General features: G+C 53.9%; 1 protein-coding gene, 1 long non-coding RNA gene and 1 pseudogene across 3 annotated transcripts in view, besides 3 other annotated features; 2 read left to right on the forward strand and 1 right to left on the reverse strand.

The window, feature by feature from the left end:
- The window catches only part of NECTIN1 (nectin cell adhesion molecule 1), a 91,103-nt gene that overhangs the window by 3,305 nt on the left and 62,721 nt on the right, over positions 1 to 25,077 (reverse strand). The window contains exon 6 of one of the 2 annotated variants that reach the window (NM_002855.5): positions 19,590 to 23,895. The exons of the other annotated variant lie outside the window; for it this stretch is intronic. Coding sequence (NP_002846.3) covers positions 23,345 to 23,895 — 551 coding nt within the window. The 3' untranslated portion in view covers positions 19,590 to 23,344. Of the gene's footprint in view, positions 1 to 19,589; positions 23,896 to 25,077 lie in introns of those variants that run through there. 2 annotated transcript variants of the gene reach the window in all.
- On the forward strand, positions 630 to 15,762 carry LOC124900303 (uncharacterized). Its single transcript, XR_007062919.1, has 2 exons — positions 630 to 1,587; positions 12,621 to 15,762. It is a non-coding gene; the product is annotated as an uncharacterized LOC124900303 (long non-coding RNA).
- Positions 8,512 to 9,079: an enhancer, noted in NCBI's record as "OCT4-NANOG-H3K27ac hESC enhancer chr11:119520624-119521191 (GRCh37/hg19 assembly coordinates)". NCBI's record gives its function as "activates a minimal SCP1, AML or CMV promoter by ChIP-STARR-seq in naive H9 embryonic stem cells {active_cell/tissue: H9 hESC(naive)}" and the evidence as "EXISTENCE:reporter gene assay evidence [ECO:0000049][PMID:30033119]".
- Positions 14,909 to 15,014, forward strand: RNU6-1123P (RNA, U6 small nuclear 1123, pseudogene; annotated as a pseudogene).
- Positions 23,194 to 23,732: an enhancer, noted in NCBI's record as "H3K27ac-H3K4me1 hESC enhancer chr11:119535306-119535844 (GRCh37/hg19 assembly coordinates)". NCBI's record gives its function as "activates a minimal SCP1, AML or CMV promoter by ChIP-STARR-seq in naive H9 embryonic stem cells {active_cell/tissue: H9 hESC(naive)}" and the evidence as "EXISTENCE:reporter gene assay evidence [ECO:0000049][PMID:30033119]".
- Positions 23,733 to 24,269: an enhancer, noted in NCBI's record as "H3K27ac-H3K4me1 hESC enhancer chr11:119535845-119536381 (GRCh37/hg19 assembly coordinates)". NCBI's record gives its function as "activates a minimal SCP1, AML or CMV promoter by ChIP-STARR-seq in naive H9 embryonic stem cells {active_cell/tissue: H9 hESC(naive)}" and the evidence as "EXISTENCE:reporter gene assay evidence [ECO:0000049][PMID:30033119]".

Here is a 25,077-nt window from a genome sequence, read left to right on the forward strand (position 1 = left end):
ACAGTTTGTGGCCTTTATCAAAGCGTTAAGGGCTGAGGCCTTTCACGACCTGGTTCCTGGAGGAAACGCCATGCCGCCCCCAGCCTGGACCACTTGCAGCTCCCAGACAGGGAGCCCCTGCTTCCTCTCATCCTCAGGTAGCTAGTAGGAGCCACTCTGTCTGCCAGGGTCTCTCTTTCTTCCCCTTCTTTGCCAGGCCAATCCAGCCTGCAGGTTTAAGCTGGACGTGCTTCCTCCAGAGAGCCCTCCCTGCCTCCTCCACTGGAATGGGGTTCCTCCTCTGGACTTCCCCTGCACTCTCTTTCAGTCTCTTTTCTTTTCTTTTTCTTTTTTTTTTTTAGACGGAGTCTCACTCTGTCGCCCAGGCTGGAGTGCAGTGGCGCGATCTCGGCTCACTGCAAGCTCTGCCTCCCGGGTTCATGCCATTCTCCTGCCTCAGCCTCCCGAGTAGCTGGGACTACAGGGACCCGCCACCAGGCCCGGCTAATTTTTTTTTTTTTGTATTTTTAGTAGAGATGGGGTTTCACCATGTTAGCCAGGATGATCTCGATCTCCTGACCTCGTGATCCGCCTGCCTTGGCCTCCCAAAGTGCTGGGATTACAGGCGTGAGTCACCGTGCCTGGCTTCTTTCAGTCTCTTTTCTACAGACTGTGATTGCACGTCTGACTTGTCTCCCCAGCCCTGCACAGTGCCTGGCATGCAGAAGTGCTCAGTAAGTGTGGTGAATGAATGAAGGCTTGCCTGAATGTGTAGTGGGCAGTTCTGGGAGAGGGTCCACCGGGCGGGCCTCTGGAATCTCACCTTCCACTAGGGGGAGCTCTCACCTTGAGTCCAGCCACCACCACGCTGGATGCTACGAATTCAGTTTCCCTGGACACAACTCAAACCTATATCCCCTTTTCTTCTCAGCACAGCTGAGGCAGGCTGGCATTTCCAGAGGGCTAGGGTGGGAGGGGGAGCAGTAGGGAAATGAACACATACCCTGTCCGGCTCACAGAGTTCAGGTTTCTCTTCTACCACGGTTGGCCCCACATGGAATCCGAACAGGAGGAAGAGACAGGTTCAGGACAAAAGGCTGGGATTTCAGCCCTTACTCCCTGCCTCCAGGAAACTTCTCTCAGAGGCTTTCACCCATCATCCCCTCATGGACTCTGCAGCCACTTTGCCAAGAGAGGGTGGCAGCTGTCTCTATAAGGGCCCTTTCATCATCCTTACAGTGCAAACAAAAACACAGCCATCCCTCGGCATCTCTGGGGGATTGGATCCAGGACCCCTAGCGAATAGCAAAATCCAAGCATGCTCAAAAGTCCCTTATATAAAATGGTGTAGTATTTGCCTATAACCTATACACATCCTCCCATATACTTTAAATCAGCTCTAGATTACTCATAATACCTGGTACAATGTAAATGCTGTGTAAATGGTTGTAATACTGCATTATTTAGGAATAACAAGAAAAAGGTGTACATGTTCAGTGCTGACACTACTCTCCATTTTCTTTTTTTCTGAGTATTTTTGATCTGCAGTTGGTTGACTCCACGGATGCAGAACCCATGGATGGATACAGAGGGTTGACTGTATAAGAAGTGAGTCTGTGAATGCACTCGTGTGGGCATTAGGAAAACCAAAGGCTAAACAGGGTGGGATGTGGTGGGCAAGGCCTCACACGTGCCAGGGCCACAGTGGATAACTCTGATTTTGTTCCCTCCAAATTGCCCTCACTCCCTGTCCCACCCTCTCAATATCTGAGTGCAACTTCCATTGTCACCATGGGCCTTGCCTGATGCACCTGGAGGGTCGCACCCTGGTGGAAGAAATACTAGTGGAGAGAAAATGAGATGTGGGGACAAGAAAAGGGAAATCCAAGGAGGAGAAATTGGCCTCAAGTCTCTGGCATGCAAGGCACTGTGCCAGGTGCCTTTGCTGATTTGGGGCATATTTGATCCTCGTATTGAGCCTGCAAAATGAGATAATGTTATCCCTGATGAGCAAGATAAAGCTCAGAGAGGTTAAGTAATTCGTTCAGGATCGTCCAGATAGTCAGTGGCTGAGGGCACTGGGATCTGCGCCTGTGTGCTGTTCTCCCTGCCTCAGGCTGTGGGGTCTTAGTATTTCTCATCCCTCACTTGGCATGGGCCTGCCATCCCCCTTTTCATCCCTTATCAGACATAGCCCTGCCTACCCCCTCCCTGAATAGGGGGGCCCTGGTTGCTTTGTCTCTGAGCCTCCCCTTGACAGCTGTGAGGAAGGGGCCTGGTGCTGGCCCCAGCCAGAACCCTGGCATTGAGCCCCCAGACACTCTCTGGTTACACCGTGACAAATTGGTTCCCCCGCTCCCAGCTCCGCAGGCTTGAGGGCAGGCCCAGTCACCTGCAGGCAGCTGGGTCTGGCTGTGAGCCGGGAGAGCTGGAATCAGTGTCGGGGGGTGGGGGTGGGGCCTCCAGGGAGCACTTATTGCCCACCAGGCTCCGGGCTGGACCCTGTCCTTGCAATGATCCTGGGAGGTTGGCTATGTGCCTCTTGCTGTACTGCAAAAGGGCAGAGCAGTCAAGTCAGCAGTCCAGGTCCCACAGCTAGGGCCGCCACAGCTGGACTTGGGTCCAGTTGACCACTGAAGTCTCTGTCCTGTTAGTCATCAGGGCCTGGGCTCCTCTCAATGGCTTCCCTGGGAGAGCCCGCACTCGGTCCTGGCTCACGCCGCAAGGATGGCCTCTGGGGGTCACACCAGTGACACTCCCTGGGCCTCAGTTCTCTCACCTGTCACATGGTGACAGTGCATCTGGTTTTCCTGTCCCTCAGACTGAGATAGTGAAATCCATGGTTAGGGGGTAAACACAGATGGGTTCATTCTGGGGGCTGCAGGCCGCGTGCTACTGGGGCTTCTCTGCTCTTCCAGGAACAGCTCTACTGGATTCACTGAGGCCTCGTGGTTTGGGAGCCCGAGGAGCTTTGGGTCACACCCAAGTAGCCAGCAATCTTCACCTGCTTCTCCCGACCACCCCCCTCTCAGCCAGATGTCAGTGTTCCTGCACCCCAGGCTTCCCTCAGGGTGGGAAGCGAGCCCAGACATCCAGCTTCACGGCGTGCTCCCTTGCCCTACCTGTTGTTCCTCCTTCAGTTAGACAAACGTGTGCCTCACACTTCTATGTGCCAGGCATTGTGCCCGGTGTGAGGGGCTTGCCCCCTGGCTAATGGAGGAGTCATACACGTATGCAAATAAGTATGCTATTTTGTGATTCATGCTGCAAGAGAGGTCTCTTCCCACAGAGCAGGGGGCCTTCTGAACAGGGTTTTGATAGCATAGTAGGAGTTCACCGCGAGAAGAACATTGTAGGCAGAGTGAGGAGGGCTACCGGGGCACGTGTGTGAAATGTGGGGTATATGAGGGAAATTCCAAGTATTGGATATGGCTGGGAAATGGGCTGCAAAGGGAGAAAGACAAGGAATCAGGGGGCTGGGAGGAGGGGGCAGAGCATGCTCAGAGGTTTAGATTTCTAATAGGTGATATTAGGTAATAGTAATGCCCTCTCTCCTGCCGCCTCTCCCTGGGGACACAGACACTACCTTTCTCATGAGCTGGATTGATAAGGGCTGTCCTGGAGTCACCTCCTCCAGAGCTCCCCAGGGCAGCCACTTGGCACTTCTGCCCCTGAAGCTGTCCTGGGTTGGTCTGCCCTCTGCTTGTCTCCTCTGATGCAGGCCACAGGTGTTTGCGGGGAGCCAGGAGCTCAGAGCAGGCTGGGTGTTTGGACTTGGTGCCTGGAGGTCAAATTGGCTGGAGGAAGGGCTGATTTTACCACCCAGGGCCCATCCAGTGGCTGAGTCTGCCTGGCCATGTCTCCAGCCCACGTGTGCTGGACTGACCTTTCCCCCAATGACCAGAGAGGCAAGGGCTGGAGGCAAGTCTTCCTGGCCAACCCTCCTGTGTTCGGAAGGTCTGGGGCAGACTCCAGCGGTCTCACTGCTGGGAGGGCTCCCAAGTCTTATCTGAATGTCATTGTTACGTTGAAACCCAACTGTGAGAACCCAGGACCCCATCCACAGGGACAGGAAGCTTCTGACTTCATAGGCTGGAGCCAGGGGACCTTGCAGGCTGGCAGGACTTCTGGCACACCCTTCATGCTCAGGGACCAACAGTGGCCATCCCTGCACTCCTGTAGCGTCAGCATCCAGGCTAAGCTCCTCAGCCTGTCCCCCAAGGTCCAGTCAGGCCCATGTTTTGTCCCACACATGCCTTGCTGGGTGTTTCCAGCTTTCTCTGTCTCCGTCTCAACATCTCATTTCCATTCCATCGTCCCAGAACTGCAAGCTGGGCTGGCTGCCGCACCGTCACACGTGGGGGTTGTGGGACTCTCCCCTTCCCTTGCTCAGGAGGGGACATACCCCTCTCCTCCTCAGTTTAGCTCATACAGGAGGGAACTCTTTCAACTGCTTTCCTCTGAGCCAGGGTGGTGAGGGAACCCACCTAGAGACTCAAAACCGAAGAAGTCACAGAGTTCTTTCCTTGGCTCAGACTCAGCCAGGCCTCTGTCCTCCCCTTCTCTTAGGCTATAGGGCTAGGAGGCTCAACCCTCTTGTCTACAGCCTGAGGTGGCCTTCGGTGGGCTCTGCGCTGGAGCTGCTGGGAGTCCCCTGCCTCCTGGCCTTTTCCTTGAGTTGGGCTCCCGGTCTCTTCCTCTAGCCTGGACTGGCTTGCATTTCAGCCTTGTGTCTGTTCTGGTGGGCCCCTCAGTGCAAAAAGCCTTTTCTCCTTGGCCACACAGAATTTGCTCTGGTTCTGAACTCAGGTGGAGGTCATCTTGAAGTCCCATTCTTCAGACCTCCTGGATGGAGGCTGGAGGCCCTGAGCTCTGCAGTCCTGCCCTCTTTCCTCCCTTGCCCGACTTCCAGTCCATCTCCCTGGAGCTGATGTAAAGTGCTTAGTACAGTGCGTGGCACATAGTCAATATGTAATACGTGGTTGCTATTTTTGTTATTAGCTGTTCAATAAACAGAAATGGATGAAGTTGCTGCTGACGGTAACGGGGATGATGTTGGCCCATCCCCCCTCCGTAGAATCTCGGCTGCTTCACCTGTGCTGGCTCTCTGGGCCAAGTTAAACCCGTGGTCACATTATCATAATATCAATTATAGGTTTCATGTGCTTTTACTTAAATTATTTTATTTGATGCCCCCACCCCTTTGAGTCTGTTGACAGATGGTAACTGGAGCTCAGAGAAGGTTGGTGAAATGCTCAGGGTCACACAGCTCACTGATGAGGGAGGTGAGGGAGGAACCCAGGCAACCTGGTTCTCAGTGCAGTGCCTGGGGCCATTTTCATGCCCCCCACTGCCTCCATCTCTCAGTTTATCTGCAGAGGAAGATAGCTCAAGGTTGAGCTGGCCACCTTCTTAGCTGTCTAATCTTGGGCAAGTCACTCAAACCCTTTGAGCCTCAACGTTTTCGTCTGTGAAATGAAATAAGAGCAGGACTGTTGTCGGCCATGAGTGAGGTAATACTGCATGTTAAAGCATAGTGGCTGTGGACAGTCGGTGCCTAGTGAGGGTTGGTTCCTGAGGGCAGGGACATGCCTGCTCCTGTGGCAGACCTGCCAAGCAGCTGAGGCTCGCATCCCTGATCTCATCCTGCCTGTTGGCCTTTCTCGTGCTGGCTCTCAGCTTTCCTTAGTCCCTTCACCATCACCATCCATGGGCCACACACCCCCAACTGGTCTAGGCCTGTGCAGGCCTCAAGATGAGGGGCCAGAGCTTGCGGCGCATGTGTGTGTGTGTGTGTGTGTGTGTGTGTGTGTGTGTGTGTGTGTGTGTGTGTGTGTGTGTGACTGTGACCCCCTTTGGAAAGGGTTGAGGATTGTCACTTCCCACTTCACCTAGGATGTTCCCTCTATCTGGAATGCTGTCTCCAATGTCACCAGCACCCCTGCCCCACCACTCCCTGCCCTCCACACCTTGAGTTGTCATTAGGAGTAAGAAGGAACCTGAGCAAGGCCGACTCTGAACCCCCTCCAAGCTCAGGCCCAGCTGGAGAGAGTTACTGGGATTTCACGCACATTCCTGAGGGGAGAGGGACTATCTCCCTGTTAGGGACCCTGCTGCGCAGGGACCTGACCCCCAGTCCTCTTGGAGGGGGTGGCTGATCTGTCACACACCCAGCCTGCCCACCTCCTCTGGGTGCCCTCTTCCCTCTCCTAGCTCCTAACTCTTTCCTCCCTATCTGCTTCTCACAAAGATCTTCCTTAATGGAGGGGGTGGCGGGGGGAAGCACCAAATCTGCAAAAGCACAAAGTGTAGTGGGAAAGTCATGACTGGATTCTCCCCTCACTAGCAGTGTGACCTTAACTGTGCTGAACCTTAGTTTTCTGTAAAAGGGAGAAAAGGGACTGGGCGCGGTGGCTCACGCCTGTAATCCCAGCACTTTGAGAGGCCGAGGTGGGTGGATCACCTGAGATCAGGAGTCTGAGACCAGCCTGGCCAACATGGAGAAACCCCAACTCTACTAAAAATACAAAAAATTAGCCAGGCATGGTGGTGGGTGCCTGTAATCCCAGCTACTCAGGAGGCCGAGACAAGAGAATCACTTGAACCTGGGAGGCGGAGGCTGCAGTGAGCTGAGATCGTGCCACTGCCTTCTAGCCTGGGTGACAGAGTGAGACACCGTCTCAAAAAAAAAAAAAAAAAAAAAAAAAAAGGGAGGACGGGTAGAAATAAATGAGGTAAGCACGTGAGAGCCTGGCACTGAGCGGCGCCCAGAAATAATAGGAATAGGGTCAGGGTGGGGTGATGGTGGTGGTGTGATGGTACTGGTGCAGTGGTGGTGGCAGTGATGATGGTGGTGATAGTGGTGGTGATAGAGGTGGTAATAGTGGTGGTGGTGATGGTGGTGGTGATGGTGGTGGTGGTGGTGATGGTGGTGATGGTGATGGTGGTGATGGTGGTGGTGATGCTGGTGGTGGTGATGCTGGTGATGGTGGTGATGGTGGTGGTGGTGGTGATGGTGGTGATGGTGATGGTGGTGGTGATGGTGGTGATGGTGGTGGTGCTGGGCCAGCTGCATGAAGATGAGCACCAGACTCTTCCAGCACCAGCAGGATACTTCATCACCCACCATGGCTGAGACCTCCTGGAGCCACTGTCCAGCACCCAGCAGGACAGCTGGGCAGAGCAACGGGCCTGAGACTGTTTCTGTAGAAACGAAACATCACTGGTTTGGGGTTATTGTGCCCTGAAGAGCTCTAAAAACAGCTATGTTCCAGGGTCCCAGCCAATGAAACCCCTGGGGCAGAGCCCAGGAAGCTGCCTGTTTAGGGAGGGCTGTGGGAGTGTCTGGGGTCTTTGTCAGGTCTCTCCAGCCCCCTTCCCTCCCTCAGTTGCTGGCCACTGCACAGGGACTCCCCACACCCAGGAGGCTTCCATTTTCCCTGAGGGTGGGAATTCCAGTGGGTCTAGGTGGCCCTGAGGGAGCCTCCTCTCATCTAGGCTGGCAGGGCTCCGACACTCCTGGCCTCCCTTCCTGGGGCTTGGGTCTGAGGCTGGGGCAGGAGGGCATGGGTGGCAACAGCACTAGAGTAGACGAGTGGGACTCCTGCCTCACTGGCACTGTGTGCAGAGTCAGAAAGATGTGAGTTCAAGGCCAATGGAGACAATCCCTGGGCATCTGGGAGCTGGGCCACAGTGCTGGATTCAAAAGCAGGCTCCAGGCCGGGCACGGTGGCTCATGCCTGTAATCCCAACACTTTGGGAGGCAGAGGCGGACAGATCACGAGGTCAAGAGATCGAGACTATCCTGGCCAACATGGTGAAACCCCGTCTCAACTAAACACACAAAAAAATTAGCTGGGCATGGTGGCGTGCGCCTGTCGTCCCAGCTACTTGGGATGCTGAGGCGGGAAAATCACTTGAACCCAGGAGGCAGAGGTTGCAGTGAGCCAAGATTGTGCCACTGCACTCCAGCCTGACAACAGAGTGAGACTCCATCTCAAAAAAAAAAAAGAAAAAGAAAAAAAGGCTGGGTGCAGTGGCTCACGCCTGTAATCCTAGCACTTTGGGAGGTCAAGGCGGGTGGATTGCATGAGCTCAGGAGTTCAAAACAAGCCTGGGCAACATGGTGAAACCCCGTCTCTACTAAAAATACAAAAAAATTAGCCAGGCATGGCAGTGTGGGCCTGTAGTCCCAGCTACTTGGGAGGCCGAGACAGGAGAATTGCTTGAACCCTGGAGGCGGAGGTTGCAGTGAGCCAAGATCGCACCACCGCACTCCAGCCTGGGTGACAGGGTGAGACTCCGTCTCCAAAAAAAAGAGGAATGTTACCAGGAAAATAAGAAAAACAGGAAATATAAAAACACGGGAATGGCAGAGTTTCTGGAGCACCTATTTCTTCTCCTGATATAATTGATCATCCAGCTGCAGACTCACTAGAAATCTGTCAAGGTCAGCCCCACCAGCAGAGTTGGGCTACTCAGGAGGAAATGAAGTTCTGGCCACTGAGGGTTTCATGTGTGTCCGTGTGAAGAGACCACCAAACAGGCTTTGTGTGAGCAACAAGGCTTTTTATTTCACCTGGGTGCAGGAGGGCTGAGTCCAAAAAGAGAGTCAGCGAAGGGAGATAGGGGTGGGGCCATTTTATAAGATTTGGGTAGATAAAGGAAAATTACAGTCAAAGGGGGGTTGTTATCTGGCGGGCAAGAGTGGGGGTCACAAGGTACTCAGTGGGGGAGCTTTTGAGCCAGGATGAGCCAGGAGAAGGAATTTCACAAGACAATGTCATCAGTTAAGGCAGGAACGGGCCATTTTCACTTCTTTTGTGGTGGAATGTCATCAGTTAAGGCAGGAACCGGCCATCTGGATGTGTACGTGCAGGTCACAGGGGATATGATGGCTTAGCCTGGGCTCAGAGGCTTGACAGAGGTCTGTGCTCCTTCCCAGTGCTGTGTATTCTACAACTTCTCCAGATCACTTCTGTTCTACAAAATCATCTTCCATAGCATCTTTTCCAGGAAGTCTTTCCTCATGAGCCCGGCCTGCCTCTGATGACGCCATTTGATACCAAACACCGTTCCCACGAGCTCAGGTTTCACCCTACCTGGGGCATTTGCTGATACATGGGTGTACAAAAACTTGTATGGGGCCTGGGATCCCCTGTGGAGTTAGGCTGGTGCAGTCTCCTTCCTCCTTCCCTGATGCCAGGGCATATATGGCTCTGCCCTTCACAGTTTCTACGGCAGCAGGCAGAGGGTAGGGTTGCAGAGTGGTTAGAGACACGGATTCTGGGGCCAGACTGCCTAGGTTTAAAGCCCAGCTCCTCAGTGGCTAACTGCGGGACTTTGGGAAACTCTCTTCATGTCTTCATGTCCCTGTGTTGGGAATGATAGTAAGAGTAATAATACCTACCTCCAGGGCTGGAGGTGAGGATTCAATGTTATAAAGTATGTTGAACACTGCCTGGCACTTAGGGAGTGATATTGTTAGTCTTAGCTGTTTTTAAAATCTCCTGAGTCACTTTGTAATTTCCAAACATCATATAAATGTAAAGAATTCTTACTGTTGTTAGGCTCCTGGGACTCAATTTCCCCATTTGAGAGTTGGGGAGAATGATCTTTGAGGTTCCATCAGGTTCCAAAGGTCTGTAATTCTTGGATAGGTAGTTAGACCTCTTGCTTGGGGTTTGCATGAGTTGAACTACAGGGACAAAAGAATAGGGCGTGGAATAGGACACCCATGAGCCCAGGCTTTGGAAGGGAGAATTTGACCTCTGGGAGGTAACAGCAGAAAACAAGAGGAGGCAGAGTGTTTCAGAGGGAGAGCCTTCCCAGTCAGGGAACTTTGGGTACTGTCCTTATCCCAGAGCCTGCAGGAAGGCCAACACCAGCCAGCTGGGGGCTCCAATTCCCATTGGGGCTTGGGTGTGTCTTCAGAAAGAGTATCATGTGAGAGACCTATGGTTTTCATTGATCAAGCCCCCAGATCTTCCTAGGGTGAACAGATACTTCTGTGGAGGAAATCCTGGAGACGGACAGCCCCAGTCTTTCTTGGGGGGGGTCTGTCCTCGCCACCCCATACTCCTTAAGTGGGCTGTCGGAGGAGACATGGGGAGCCTGCTCCTACCGTGGTTTTCCCTGGAGCCCCTTCTCTGCTCCCCTCTCGTGGGGGCTTGGATTGTTTATTTCATTAGCAGGGGAGCTCCTTCGCTTCTCTGCAGGGAGGGCAGAGTGGGTCACTCTCACAGTGAGGGATGAGACCATGCCCACCCCAATCCCCCCACTCCCACTGCAGCTGCCACACACCACGCTTCTCTGGAAGCTGCCCTTGGCCACTATCACCCCAGGCACCTGGGCTCAGGATCAATTGCAGTAGATCATGGAGATGGAGTGGGGTGCGGTGATTCATCACTGTCAGGGCTGTCTAAGAGCTCTGGGGCGGACCTGCTACCTGGCCCTGCTGCTTTGTCTTCAGGAGCAACTTGGGAGAGGCCACTAGGCGCCCATCTTCCATTTGCCAGGCCCTTTGTTCCACATGCAGAGAGGGGTCATGGAATCAGAGAGGCAAAGGGCCTTGCTCAAGGTCACCTGGTGAGAAGTGGCAGAGCTGGTTGCAGAGCCCAGCCCCCTGCCTCCTAGTCCAGGCCTCTCGCCAGCATATTACCTCCCTCCCGCCGGCTGCCATCCAGCCCTGACTGCCTGCCCTTCTCTTCCAACCCATTATAGTCAACAGGGAAAATCCCATTTGGTGTGCCTTGCTGTCCCCTGTCCTTCTTGTCATTAACGCCCCAGGAAATTTCCATTGCTTCGGGTCAATTGTGGGGACCAGAGGAAGGTTTTCCAGCGAACCCCACCCGGTGTGGTCACCATGACACCTCGAGGCCTCATGCCAATCACTCTGTTGTGCCCCACGACTCCTGTTTCCTGATGGCTGGCTTGTCCTTCCTATTCTTCTGGGAATCCCCCAGAGCACATCTCCTCCCCCTCCTCCTCTGACTCCACCCATCCTGTCCCAGCCTCTCCAGTGCCTCCCAGGCCACCGGAACAGGGATTTCTTCTAGGAGGGCCCCCACCTGGCAGACCAGATACACACTAACCCTTCCTCTTGAGCTCCAGGGAATGTATGACAATAGGCCTTCAAACATTCTTTTTTAAAAGCCTTGGAAACTTTCAAAATCCTACATCTCTGATAGTCATATGAAAAAGTGCTCAACATCCTTAGTCATGGGGAAATGCAAACTGAATCATAATAACATACCACTATGCCCTTGCCAGAAAGACTAAAAGATAAAAGGACGGATGGCACCAAGAGTGGGCGAGAAGCAGAGCCATGGGAACTCTCATACGCTGTTGGTGGGAGCGACATTGGCACAACCACTCTGGAACACTGATTGTATCTACTAACCCTAGTTCCACTCCCAGCAGAAATGAGGGTGATGGACCCCAAAGTTACATACAAGAATGTTTGTAGCAACTTTAATTGTCCCAGCCTGGAGACTGCTCACATCCCCACTGATGGTACAAGAGAGAGGCACACTGTGGCCTTTTCACACTTTGGGATAATAATACACAGCAATGGACAACAGACCTCATGGGTGAGGCTCACAGACATCATGTTGACTGAAAGAGCTGCAAAAATAGTATACTCGATTGTATTCTATGAATAGAATAGACTAGGTATGACTCCATTTCTGTGAAGTTCCAGAATGGGGGTCATGCCTGGGAGGGCACATGAATGACTCACAGTCTTGATCCGGGGGTGGTGACATGGGTGTGTACAAATGGAACTGAAGCCCTAAGATCTACGCACTTCACAGTTGTTACCGTATTCCTCAATAAAAAAGCTTGAAAATGAAAAATAACAAAGTACCAAAACCTTACACAGGATCCCGGCAAGTAAAAATGATCACGGTTGAGACCTATCCTCTCGCTTCCTATGTCAGGTGGCTCCCGGGGCATTTCTGTGGATTAAACTGTAGAAGGCACTGGAAGCCTTTGCTCCGGGGTGAATGTGGCCTCACATTCCTGCAGCTGGCCTCAGTGTCCCCTGCAGGAGGGTGGCCCGGCGCGGGGATCCCAACCCAGCCCTGCCCTGAGGGACACATCCCCGTTCCTCCAGACCCGCGCCCCTCCAACAGGCTGGTGGGTCGTGGTGCGAGACGACGTCAATCAGAGAGAAAATAAAGGAGTGGTGCGCACCACGTAGCCAGGAAGGCACAGAGCTGGGATCCTACCTGGAACTTGGCAAGTGTCTTACTTCTTGATGTTGTTTCCATGACGAGTTCTGTTTCCCTGCTTAGGGCAGATACCCAGTGGTGAAAATAACAATAAGTAAGAATACTATCCTAGTTCAACGCAGCTGAGCGCTCAGTCTGTTCTAGGTGTTCTGTTGAGTGCTTTACAAGGAGTCAATTCTCCTTTAATCCTTACAGCCGTCGGTGGCAAGTATCCCTATTACCTGTTTTACAAATACTCCATATATGAACTATCTTTATTCATCCCAGCAGTCTACTCACGTAGATTGAGAAATAAAATTCAGGGAAGGCAGGCACCTTGCTGAAGGTCTGCAGAGCTGATAGGTGGTGGAACAAGGGATTGATCAAGGTCAGTTTGACTCTAAAGCCCTGTCTCTTTCCTTTCACCAGGTTTTCTATAAATGTCTGCTGTGGACTGAACTGATGGAATAAGCATCCAAAAGGAATGCCACCGGCTGAAATGCTGACCCTCATCACCAAGATAAAACATTGCAGGGATGCATGAAAATTACATTTGGGGAGTAAATAGGCAGCCCAAGTACAGAGTGAAGAAGACCTGCTTAGAGGTGGCACACATGAAAACAACTCAAAGGTTTACTTGCCCATCTGAATATTCATCCATCCATCCATCCATCCATCCATCCATCCATCCATCCATCCATCCAACCATCCAACCCCCTCTTGCCCTCAGAAGTTTAACCACCAGGATTGAGCCCCTCTGTGTCCCATGCCAACCTCCTAAGGTCAGATGGGTTGGCTGTGCCCACTGTGTAAGAGGGGGTAGGCCAGGTTCAGGGAGGACACACAGACAATTCCTCACCCCTCCACCCCCATTCCCTGCTGGTCAGACCAGTTCCAGGGATCAGTATTTAATACCTGGCCCTCAGAATGGGAGGGAGATGGCAATGTGTGTGTGCGTGTGTGTGTGTTTCTTCAGGAACACCTTTTTTTTTTTTTGAGATGGAATCTCGCTCAGTCGCCCATGCTGGAGTGCAGTGGCACAATCTCAGATCGCTGCAACCTCCGCCTCCCCAGTTCAAGCAATTCTCCTGCCTCAGCCTCCTGAGTAGCTGGGACTACAGGTGCCCACCACCATGCCCAGCTAATTTGTGTATTTTTAGTAGAGATGGGGTTTCCCATATTGGCCAGGCTGGTCTCAAACTCCTGACCTTGTGATCTGCCCACCTTGGCCTCCGAAAGTGCTGGGATTACAGGTGTGAGCCACTGTGCCCGGCCCAGGGACTTTTCTTTAAAAATAGACTTACATTTATTTTTTATTTTTTATTTTATTTTTGAGATGAAGTTTTACTCTTGTTGCCAAGGCTGGAGTGCAATGGTGCGACCTCGGTCCACTGCAACCTCTGCCTCCTGGGATCTAGCGATTCTCCGGCCTCAGCCTCCTGAGTAGCTGGGATTACAGGCACCCACCACCACGCCTGGCTAATTTTTTGTATTTTTAGTGGAGATGGGGTTTCACCATGTTGGCCAGGCTGGTCTTGAACTCCTGACCTCAGGTGATCCACCCACCTCGGCCTCCCAAAGTGCTGGGATTACAGGCGTGAGCCACCCTGACTGGGTAACAGACTTTTTTTTTTTTTAAAAGAGCAATTTTAGGCTCACAATCAGATTGAGTGGAAGGTACAGACAGTCTATGGGAAATAGACTCCCTACCTCCACATAGGTATGGCCTCTCCCACTATTAAAAATCCCGTACTAAAAATAAAAAACATTCTACACCAGAGGCGTCCATTTGTGGTAGTTGGTGAACACACACTGACACACTGCGACTGGTCTGTAGGTAAGTGGGGTTGTTTGATGTTGGTGTGAGGGCTTGCTCTGAGCTGGCCATTGTGACAATGCTTTCCCACAGCTACTGATCAATGGAGTCAAGACTTGAAACCAGGTTTGCCCGACTCTGAAGCCCAGGCTCCTAACAGCTGTGTTGCTAAGTGGCCTGATGACGATAGCATAGGTTTAAATATCTGAAAAAGTGGTTTGGTGAGGAGTAGCCATCTTCCAATATTTGAAGGACTATCCCAAGAAGGCTAGATGGAGTTATTCTGTGTAGCTTCCCAGGGAAATACCTAGACCAGTGGGTGAAGCGTAGGGGAGGGAAATTTTGTCCGCATAGAAGGGTAGCCCTGTGGCATCAGGGCTTACTTTGAGAGGTAATGAATTGCCCAGCACCAGAGGCTGGGCACATTTGAAGGAAAACCCCTGTCTTGGGGAAGGTTGGGCTTCACCACCTGAAAGGTCTCTTTTATTTTGATTTATTTATTTTAAGACACAAGATCTCACTCTGTCGCTTATCCTGGGGTGCAATGGTACAATTAGAACTCACTGCAGCCTCCAACTCCTGGGCTCAAGCGATCCTCCCACCTCAGCCTCCCAAGTAGCTGGGACCACAGGTGTTCACCACACCTGGATAATTTTTTCATTCTTTGTAGAGATGCAAGTCTCGCTATGTCACTCAGGCTAGTTTCAAACTCCCGGTCTCAAGCGATCCTCCCACCTCAGGTCCCCAAAGTGTTGGGATTACAGGCAGGAGCCACCACGCCCAGCTAAAAGGCCTCTTTTGACTCTCATTTTGATCAGTTCAATTTGGTTCAGCCTCTGTTGAGCACCCACTCTGTGCTAGCTCTGGGCTGGGTACTGGGGATGAGTAACACACGATCCCAGTGCTTGCTTCGGCAGCACATGTACTAAAATTGCAACGATACAGAGACGATTAGCATGGCCCTGTGCAAAGATGACATGCAAATTTGTGAAGCATCACATTAAAAAAGAAAAAGACAAGATCCCAGTCCTCAAGGGGCTGCCAGCCTAGGTTGGAAGGCAGCTTGTGCCGTTCTGTTACTTGCTGTCCCTTTTTGCCCTGGATGCCGTGGGGGCTTTCAGGGATGAGGGTCCCAGGAGTGTTGCAAAATGAAAAGAAGCTGGCTACTGAGGGGATGGTGGGTGTGAGCAGGAGGTCAGGCTGGGGGACCCTGGCCAGCTAGTCTCTGGGTCAGTCATCCCCAAGGAGGTCTTTACTCACTGTGGAATGGAAGAGGCCTTCGTTAGGGATCTTCAGGCCCGTACTCAGGCAGAGAGCGGAGGACTCAAAGAGCACAGGCCCTGCCACCCTCCCCTTCCGCCTCTCCCCGAGGGTCCTCCCTCATCTGCCTAACGGGGATATAGGGGAACTGCCACCTTCCTTCATGAAGCACATTCACTTCTCCTAGGTTGACAGCAACATGGAGCCAGGAGCTCCACTCAGAGAGGGCTATGGGACCTCCAGCCTGGGCTCTTTCATAATCCCTCTTCCCCTTCTGACAGGTGCCCAGGGAACAAGCGCCTATAGGTGGTCTAAACCCCAAAAACCTGCTTCACGAGGATTACGGGTGTGGCTCCATCCTGCCCCCTACTTGCCTCAGGTGGTGACCTCCATTGCAGTCACTGTCATCCGGGATCCCAAGTCTCACAGGTGACGATGATGATGAATATGAAAGTGATGGATGACAACAATAAATAGCATTGTTCGGCACTCAAACCCTATGTGTGTTAACTCATGGAATAACCCAACTTCCCACCCCTTCAGTCCTATTTTCCTGTCTCAAGACCCACCTCTTCCTCATGACTGACACCTGGGGCGGCCTCTTCCTCCACGCTGGCTGTCTATTGGAATCTCCTGGGTAGCTTATTAAAAATACGCCTGTTAGGGCCAGGTGCGGTGACTTATGCCTATAATCCCAGCACTTTGGAAGGCCGAGGTGGGTGGATCACAAGTTCAGGAGGTCGAGATCATCCTGGCCAACATGGTGAAACCCTGTCTTTACTAAAAATACAAAAAATTAGCTGGGCGTGGTGGCACGTGCCTGTAGTCCCAGCTATTGGGGAGCCTGAGGTAGGAGAATCACTTGAACCAGAGAGTCAGAGGTTGCAGTGAGCCGAAATTGCACCACTGCACTCTAGCCTGGTGATAGAGTGAGACTTTGTCTTTAAAAAAAAAAAAAAAAAAGCCTGTTACGGGGCTCACACCTATAATCCTAGCACTTTGGGAGGATTGCTTGAGGCCAGAAGTTTGAGACTAGCCTGGGTAACATAGGGAGACCCCTGTCTCTATAAAATAATAATAATAATAATAATAATAATAATAATAATACTAGCTGGGCATGGTGGCAGGTACCCATAGCCTACTTGGGAGGCTGAGGCAAGAAGATTGCTTGAGCCCAGGAGGTCGAGGCTGCAGTGAGCTGTGATTGTGCCACTGCACTCCAGCCTGGGTGACAAACCAAGACCCCGTCTCAAAAAAAAAAAAAAAAAAAAAGTCTGTCTAGGCCCCAATCCCAATCCCAGTGGCTCTGAACCTATTGGCGTGGGGCAGGGCCTGATTTTTAAAAATCCCCAGATGATTCTGGAGTGTAGCCTGGGTTAAGTTCTCTGCGCTCAATGGGGCCTGTGATGTATGTTGATGATGCCCTGCGGCTGGTTCTCAAGCCGAGCGGCCAGCCATGTGCTTTTCTCCATGGAGCTCAAGATGAGCTTGGATGCAGAGTTGCCAGAGGGGCCAGCATAGATGAGGCCCCAGCTCCTGGAGTGTGTATGTGCTGTGTGTGTGCTGTGGGAGGTATGCTTGGCAGAAGGGAGGCTGGGGTGAGGACATTGACTGCAGCGCCTCATCTGGGAGTAGTTCTGGGGATGGGGAGTGGAACCGCAGTCCCCCATAGAGCAGGACTTGGCCTGGCTCTGCCATCAAGCCGGTAAACCCGGGGAGAGAATAGAGTCTGGGGTCCAAGAAGCCAACAACTAGGTAGAACCCAAGGACTGCTCTGCATCGTGCTGCTCGGCATAGTGTCTAGAGGATGTGGGGGCAGAGCCTCCAGCTGTGGGCACCGGTACAGAGGTGGTTTCAGAAGCAGGTCTAGCTGGCACTCCCCTCAAGCATTCAGAGGGCTTTCCTCCTCCAACTTTCCCACCCAATCCATGTCCTTCTCATTCTTCAAACCACGTCAGATAGCACCTTTTCCAGGAAGTCTTCCCCGATGAGCCCCATCTGACTCCGACAACTCCACTTAACACCAAATATGGATCCTGCAAACTCAGTTTATATCCCACTGGGGGTTCTTGCTACTTTGTAAGGGAACAGAAGTTTGTACCAGATCTAGCATCCCCCCAGGAGTCAGGCCGGTGCCACCCCTTTCCCTGGGTTCCTCCCCTCCTGCTGCTCTCAGGATGTGGCTGTGCTCTTGAGCGTGATTGGCGCATTCGTGGGCCAAATCATAGTTTCCTCTCTAGATTTTCGTTCTCCATGTGCAGAATGAGTGTGTTGGGGTAGGATGATCTCTTTTAGAACAACGACTGTAAGATGGTAAATTCTCAAGGCTGCCCGAAATACTCTTAACAGATCTCTGTCTGGAGAACTCCTGCACATCCTTCAAGGCCCAGGTGAAATGTCGCTTCAGATCCTCCCAAACACAATGACCCACTCCCGTCCTGTGCTACCCCAGCGCTTTACACACAGCTCTGCGACAGCCTGTGGCCATTTTGGAATTGGGGATACCCAGCGTTCGGAATTCCTTAGAGCTGGGATGCTGGGTGTGGCTGTCACAGCATTGCAGTGCCAGAGTGGCCAAAAATGTGTTGTAAGTGAATAAATGAATTCCTCAATTCATCAAGTTTATCTCCTTAACCATCTGCAACCAGGAGTGGGTAGGATTGGGAACGGAGAGAAAGGCCTCCACGGTCTCCAGAGAGGAGCTTAGTCCTGGGCCCACCAGCCAAGATAGGGATATGGTGGGCACATCCCAGGGGGGAACTTAGACACTCAGACAGGTGCTGCTTCCAGGCCTTTGGTCCTCTGCTCTGCTGAGGGTGGTGCTGGAGGGATGGAGGCAAGGGTTGTGGTTTGGGCAGAAGGAGCCACAGCCTGGCAGATAGTTCTTCCAAGGCCCAACTGGACTAGAAGACTAAGAGTATGCCCTTGGACTCCCAGTATCCTTTGGGCCGGGATGTCTGTAAGGGGACATCCTGGCACCAAGGCCTGGGGAAAGGACTGAGTCTGGCTTCTCCAGCCCAAAGCTCTGTCCAGAGGGGTTGTGCCTGAGACTAATTGGCTTGCCCTCCTTCCGCTGCTGGAGAAAGTCTTGGCTAATTTGCCGGAACGCTCTAGTTAAATGCCAATTAGGACGTTCTGTCCACTGCTCTCTTCCAATGTATTAATAATGTAATTACGCATTTATTGCCTGCACAAATTAAAAATTAACTTAAACGGACAGCCTGGAAAACTGAGGAAGTGACCGCTTAAACAACCAATTTGCATCTCATTCGAATATCAACATCTAAACACAGCCCCTTCTAGGATGCTGGGTTTGGCCTTCCAGCGGGGGCTCAGCCAGCTGCCAACAGCTGCTGGCTTCTCCTTCTGCACGCCTACTTCTGCCCGTCCAGCCCCAATCCTGGGTGTGGAGGATGTGGCCTTGCCCACAATGGGCAGGAGGGTTTTCTGCTAAGCAGCCATCTTGGCTCTATCATTTTACCCCCTCCCTTTCCCAGGGGTCGTTGGTGTGGATTTCAGTGAAAGGAGATGCTACTGGGTGCGGGGGGTGACGGAGGGATGGCTGGGATGGGGCAGTCTCTGAAGCCCCTGCCACTCCCACCCCCAGGATCGATTTGTCCTGCATTCCAGCCCAGGAGATGGGAAGCAGATGGTGCTGGTGGGGAGAGCGGGGAGGTAACCGAGGAACAAGAAGACCTTCTCTCCAAACAACCAGCCCCCTGGAGAAAAATGGGGGGGTACAGGAGGGGTGGGTCACAGGGAGAGCTTGCAGGGGATGGGGCGGGGCAGTAGCTTCGAAATAGAAGATGAAAGGATAAAGCTCTCAGCTCTTCTCCGTCCCCAGGGACCTAACACGGCAGGCGTGACACTGCTGGTTTTCTTCTCCAAACAGCCACAGGAGGGGACGTGGCAGGAACAGGACAGCAGGAGTGGGTGATAGGGGAACTGGAATCTGGGGCAGGAGGCACCCGTACCCCTAGGAGGGCACCAGCCGGCACAGGGCTTTCCCTCTCTGCTGTGTGCACCCCCAGCCCTCTCAGGCCTTACTTTCTTAAAGGCCTCCCTCCTGTGTCTGTGGACGCCCACCCCTCCCTCTGCGATGCTGTCGTCAAAGTCCATGGTCTTCTCACTTGCATGGAAGATGGTTCCGGGGCAGCCTGTGAGCAGTCTCCCTCAGGGCTCCTGCTCCTCTGGAACCCTGGAACCTGGACATGGGGTGGGGGGTCCCTTCCCCTCACTATCCCTCTGTGCCATCCCCTCCAGCTCCACGCCTTCCCCGCCCCCACTGCCATGGAGCAGGGCAGTGATGGGATGCAAACCAGTTTGTTTTAAACACTTTATTTATAAAAAAGTACATTTTTAATCCTCAGTACATTTTCAACCCATCATTTTTTTTTAATACAAGTAAAAGGGGGTGATGCAAACACCCCCCAGGTCAGAACCAGGAGGATCTGCTGGGCTGTCCCTGGACCAAAGGCGGAAAGGGCGACAAGACGCCGAAGCAAGGTAGCGCATCACGCTGGGAGGGGAGGGTGGCAGCTTCTCCTGGATTCTTTTCATTTATACAAAAAAGGAAAACCAATTTTTTCGACCAAGAATCCCATTCCTCACAGCAGGGGTCAGAAGAGCAGCAGCACCGAGTGGGACAGGGGCTCCTCCTGGCCTCACAAGCTGGGCAGTGTTGGCAGCAGTGGCAGCAGCAGAGGGGCCTGCCTCCTGGCATCCCCGGTACTGGGCAGTGTGTGAAGCCTCCCTGTGGGTGTGGGGACCTGGGGCACACCCACCTGCCCCTCACTAGGAGAGGGTTTCTGTTGGCAGTCAGGCTTTGGGGGTCTCTGTCTGGACTCCTGAGGCCTGGGAGCACTACCCTCCTCCCAGAAGAGGGGACATCCGTGTCTGCTTGGCTCAGCAGAGCTGCCCACACCCACCTAACACAATTCCCAATTTCTCTGCTCTGAGGAAGGCAGAAAAGTTATTGCACCAGTGACTTGGGCAAGTGGGGGTTGGCTGGCAGAGGAAGCGCATGCCCAGGAAACAGGGCCCCTATAAGGCTCTCTTGCAGCCCGGGCACTGGGAAATTCGTTTCTCCTTAATGGCTTTCAGCAGGATCAGACCATTCCCTCTGCCACATCTGTGCTGAGTGGCCATCTGGCTGTGCATGCATGCGTGTGTACATGCGTGTACACATGCCTGCGCGTGGGTGTGTTGGAGGTGTGAGTGTGTCCACTGTGGGCACACGTACTGGGTCTGAGGTGGTCGCACTTGCAGGCCTGTGTTCACCTACTCTGTGCTGCTGCTTTTCAGACCCTTCTGATAAAAGGGGACTCGGCTGGTTCTATTACACATTAGAACAATATCAAAATCTGTAAGGAAACAGGGGCATGGGTGTGGGGTGGGGGGCAAGGACAGGGAGGGCAACAAGAGGCAGGATGACAACTGGGGAGGCCTTGGCACAATTCATACCAAGTTTATTTCATTTCCAGCAAAGCAGAAGCTCAGCTCATGCTGTGGGCATGAAGGAGAAGCAAAATGTCCTCATCTCTCTGCTGGGCTAGACCTCCCTTTTGCCAGCTGGCTGTGTCTGTGGGCCCAGCAGTAGTGCCCACCTTCCCACAAACTTGGGGCACAGAAAACCTCACATCCCTAGGTCCAAGTGCTGACTCCTGCCTCATGCCCACCCTCAGCCCAGGCTGGCAGCTGCTCGGTGGGTATGCTGAGGCTGGGCCCCTGGCAAGTCAGGAGCCTCCTACGTGGCCCATGCTACATGGACCCCAAAATTTGTGCTTTGCTTGTGGGGAGGGTGTGGAGGTGTCTTAAGGGGGAACTCAGTGCTTTGGCTGGGCTTGGGGCCTTCAAAGTCCAACACAGAATGGGGAATAGAGGGTGGCAGTGCAGGATAAAGGAGATGCAGGAGGAGACAGGGACAGGAAATGCCTCTATCAGGCAGGCCCCTGGGATTGCCTCCTGCCTGGGGGAAAAGGGGACCAAGCAGAGGGGCCAGAGTGTTGTAAGGTGGGATGGGGCAGTGATGTAATGTGGAAAAGGTCCCCTGTCCTGGGGGACACTAATACTGCTGGGAAAAGCAGCCCAGCTCCTCCACCTCCCTCTGCCCTGTGGCTGGAAAGACTCCACAATTTTCTCCCCTAACTTCACCCTATCCAGTACCCCAAATGTGTAGAGGGGAGAGCCGCACCAGGGCTGGCATGGCTTCAGACTTCTGCTACGTGGCTACTGGGCAGCCTGGGCTGGGGCCAGGGCAGTGAGGGCCAGACAACGACGACCCACCTGCTGGGCCCAGGGTTGCCAGGGCAGAAATGGAGCTGGCAGGGGGTTCAATAGCAGCACCAGGGAGGGGAGGGGAGGGGTTGGGGGGCTCCCTTAGGAAGCCTATGGCAGGGTGGGTCAGTGCCCGTGGGGCACAGAGTGGTCTGCCTCCCTCCTCCCCAACACTTGCCATCCTGCAGAGCCCCTGACACCCTGGGGTGAGTTAACTGGAATCCCAGTGGGCAGGCATGAAGGGCCGCGAAGCCTGCCTCTCCATCCCAGGGTCCTTCCCATGGGCATGCCTGTCTAGAGTGCCAGGGGATCTGGGAGCAGATGGAGGAACTGAGGCACTTTGAGCTGGGGGACTGAGAGGGCTGGGAGGGGTCTTCCTCCATTATATACATGGGAAGACCCAGTCTGGGGTGGCTGATAGGAACTCAATGTCCCATTCAAGAAGGGAATCTGCACTGAAAGGGAGGGCTTCTCCTAGGCCCTCCCCTCATCCCAGAATGAGGACCAGGGGTGGCTGAGCAGGAGGTGGCCTAGCGGCCCCACCCCCCTCACTTTCTGCCAGGCCCGAGGCTTTGACAATGGCCTTTGTGTGTGAGGCATTGTATGGACTCCTCAGTCCCTCGGACTGTGTTTGCAGAGCTTCTGCCATGTGGGCTTCCTTCCCCACTACCCTCCGTGTGGATGCTTCTTTACCTCTGACTCCTGCAGGTGGATCCCCCTGGGATCCCAGCCCTGACTAGCCAAAAGAACCAAGTGTTGCTAGATAAGGGAGAAATCAGAGAAACCTCCACGCTGTAAGAAGCAGTTTGGGGCAGGCCTGAGATCCTAGGGTGGAGGCACCGGGGACCCAGTCTCAGCTGTCTCTGGAAGCTTCTATAGGCAGACCCCATTCTCAGCTTAAAGGGGGAATGAGGTGGAAATAGACGGGTGGGCCTTGGGCAGTGTCTGGATGGGGCAGGGCATGGGACTCCAGGGGAAAGCAGGCAGAGAGGAGCAGTGTGTGCATGTGTGTGTGTGTGCACGTGTCAGCAGAGGCAGAGAGCAAGTGTGGGCTGGAGCCCACCTGGAGCCCCTAATGGAGGGGGCACATTGGGGATAAAGAGGGGACGCGTCAGAGCTAGGCCAACTCCACTCTCTGTGGGCCAATGAGGAAAAAAAATGTAAAACCACCCTCAGCAGGAAAACACTGCCCAAGGCCCCGCTTAACAAACAAGACTCCCTGGGAACTGGGGAGAAGCCGCACCCCTCCCCCTACCTCTTGGGCGCACCAGCTGTCTAGACCCAAGGTCCAAACTCCCAGCTGCATCAGATTTCACTGGTGGGTGTTGGGTTCCCTCTAGCCGGGAGGAGGAGCAGCATCTGGGGGTGTGGGGAGCTTTTCCCTCTTAGAGCCCCTTGAGCCCTCCACCCCCAGTGAAGAAACACAAACAAATTCCAGTGTAGGGGGGCGGGGGAGGCTGGCTCCCCAAACCCTGGAGGGATGCCCAGGTACACAAGACGAGAACAGGGCTCCCTACACAGAGGGCAGGCAGGTGGGGCCCGTAAAGGGAAGATACAGTAACACTAAAGCCACAGTCGAACACAACACCATGGGGAAGGGCGGAGGAGAGGGAGGAAATAAAACACAAAGCCAAGTCGTGGCTGCCCTGGGCTCCCCTGGCCCCCCAGGAGTTCGGGGCTGGCTTTGGGCAGCTGGGCAAGTCTCTGTTCAGCTCCTGGAGTGGGAGGTGGGGGGTGGGCAGGGGGCGTGCGGGGAGGGGCTGGGGAGGAGCGGTCACAGACAGAGGCTCTGGAAGGGGGGCTACACGTACCACTCCTTCTTGGAAATGAAAGACCCGTCGTTCTGAGAAACCATGTTCTCAGCCAAGTCCAGCTGCTCAGGGTCGTACTGGTAGCCCAGAGTCCGGTCCCCGTAGCCGTCCTGACGGGCCTCGGCCTCATCCACGGTGAAGTAGGGCCGCTTGGCGTCCTCGTCATATTTGGGGTGGGGGCCGCCCACCTTGCGCTCGCCCCCTCCACCGCCCTCCTCCTCCTCCTCCTCCTCCTCATAGCTGCTTCCACCCAGTGGGCCGGCCTTCTTCTCGTCGTCTGAGTCGTCGGGGTACTGCAGGTTCTGTGCCATTGGTGGGTGGTGCTGGGGGATGCCTGCCTTGCTGTAGCCGTTGCCATACACGTGCTTCTTGGTGCTGTAGTCACCCTTGAAGGTGTGCCGGCGCCGACGCAGGGCGACCACGATCCCGCCGACCACAATCAACACCAGCAGGATGCTCCCCGCCACGCCCCCAATGATGGCCGTGGGCACCGGCCCGGCGCGCCGCCCATGTTCGGGAGGAGACGGGGTGTAGGGGAATTCTGGGTGAGGAAAAGAGATGGAGGGGACAGCATCAGCGTGTGCTCCTGGGGTGTAGAGGGGGTGGGAGGGAGGCAGGGAAAGGAGAGGCCAGGAAGGACAGGCTGTCTGCACCCCAGGTTTGAGCAGCTCCAGTTCGAGGCCCCGCAGCACTCCACCCATCCTGGAGCCCTAACATGCCGCAGCGTTGGTAGCTGGAGTGAGAGACAGGCAAGAGGAGAGGCAGAGGGCAGTACCCACAGCACCAGGGTCTTCCATCCCCACTGTCCTTGGTGTGGTGCTGGCCCAGCTCAATCCCTATTCATGGTGCAGTGAGACACGTGTGCCAGTTCCAGCTGCAGCACACTGCCCACTCCATGCCATTCACAGCCACAACCCTGAGGAGGTATGCCATTCATTCTCATTGGATATCTGAGGAGCTGAGGCTTGCAGAGGTTAAAGAACTTGCCTGAGGCCACCCAGCAATGATGCATCGTTGCTTCTCCTGCACATAGAACGTGTGCAAATGTCACTGATACCCCTCTGCCAGACACCTGGCAGTCACTCTGCCCCAACACTATCAACTTGGCTTCCAAGACCCAGAACCAGGAGCCACCTAGGTGTTCTGCACCTGATTTTGTCTGCCTGCAGGGCACAGGGAAAACAGGTTCCCAGGCACTGGCTCAGGAGATGCCCCGTGAGTGCCAATCAGCTGCCAAGGTGCCAGAAACTAGGGCTGTGGTTCTTGGCTGTGGTCTGGGCCTGCAGGGCAAGGTGGGGGCCTGGCAGTGCTGCCAGCCTGGGTTATAAGTGTAAGACACCAGCATGGCAGGGCACAAGCACAGGGCAAGGACGGCAGAAATGGGGGTGAAAGCATGTGCGTGTGTGCGTGCGTGGCAATGTCGAGTACACACAAGTGGGCACATGCACAGGCATACACGCTTGCCGTCATAGCAAGCCTGCCACCCAGAGAGCACATGCTGGGAGGGCCTGCATGCCTGTGCCGACATGATGAACATGAGTGTGCAAATCTGTATGCCCCGTGGACACAGCCAAAATGAGGAGGCAGGAAAGGTGAAAAGAAGAGAAAGGAAGCAGGTGGGACAGGAGAGAAGGCTGGGTGGGTGGCTTTCTGTGCCAGTGGGGCCGGGCCACAGTACTGTTCTTTGGCCAACACTGCCCCTTCCCTTGCCTTACAGGGCCTG

This window comes from Homo sapiens, chromosome 11 (assembly GCF_000001405.40).
Source record: "Homo sapiens chromosome 11, GRCh38.p14 Primary Assembly".
Taxonomy (NCBI): domain Eukaryota; kingdom Metazoa; phylum Chordata; class Mammalia; order Primates; family Hominidae; genus Homo; species Homo sapiens.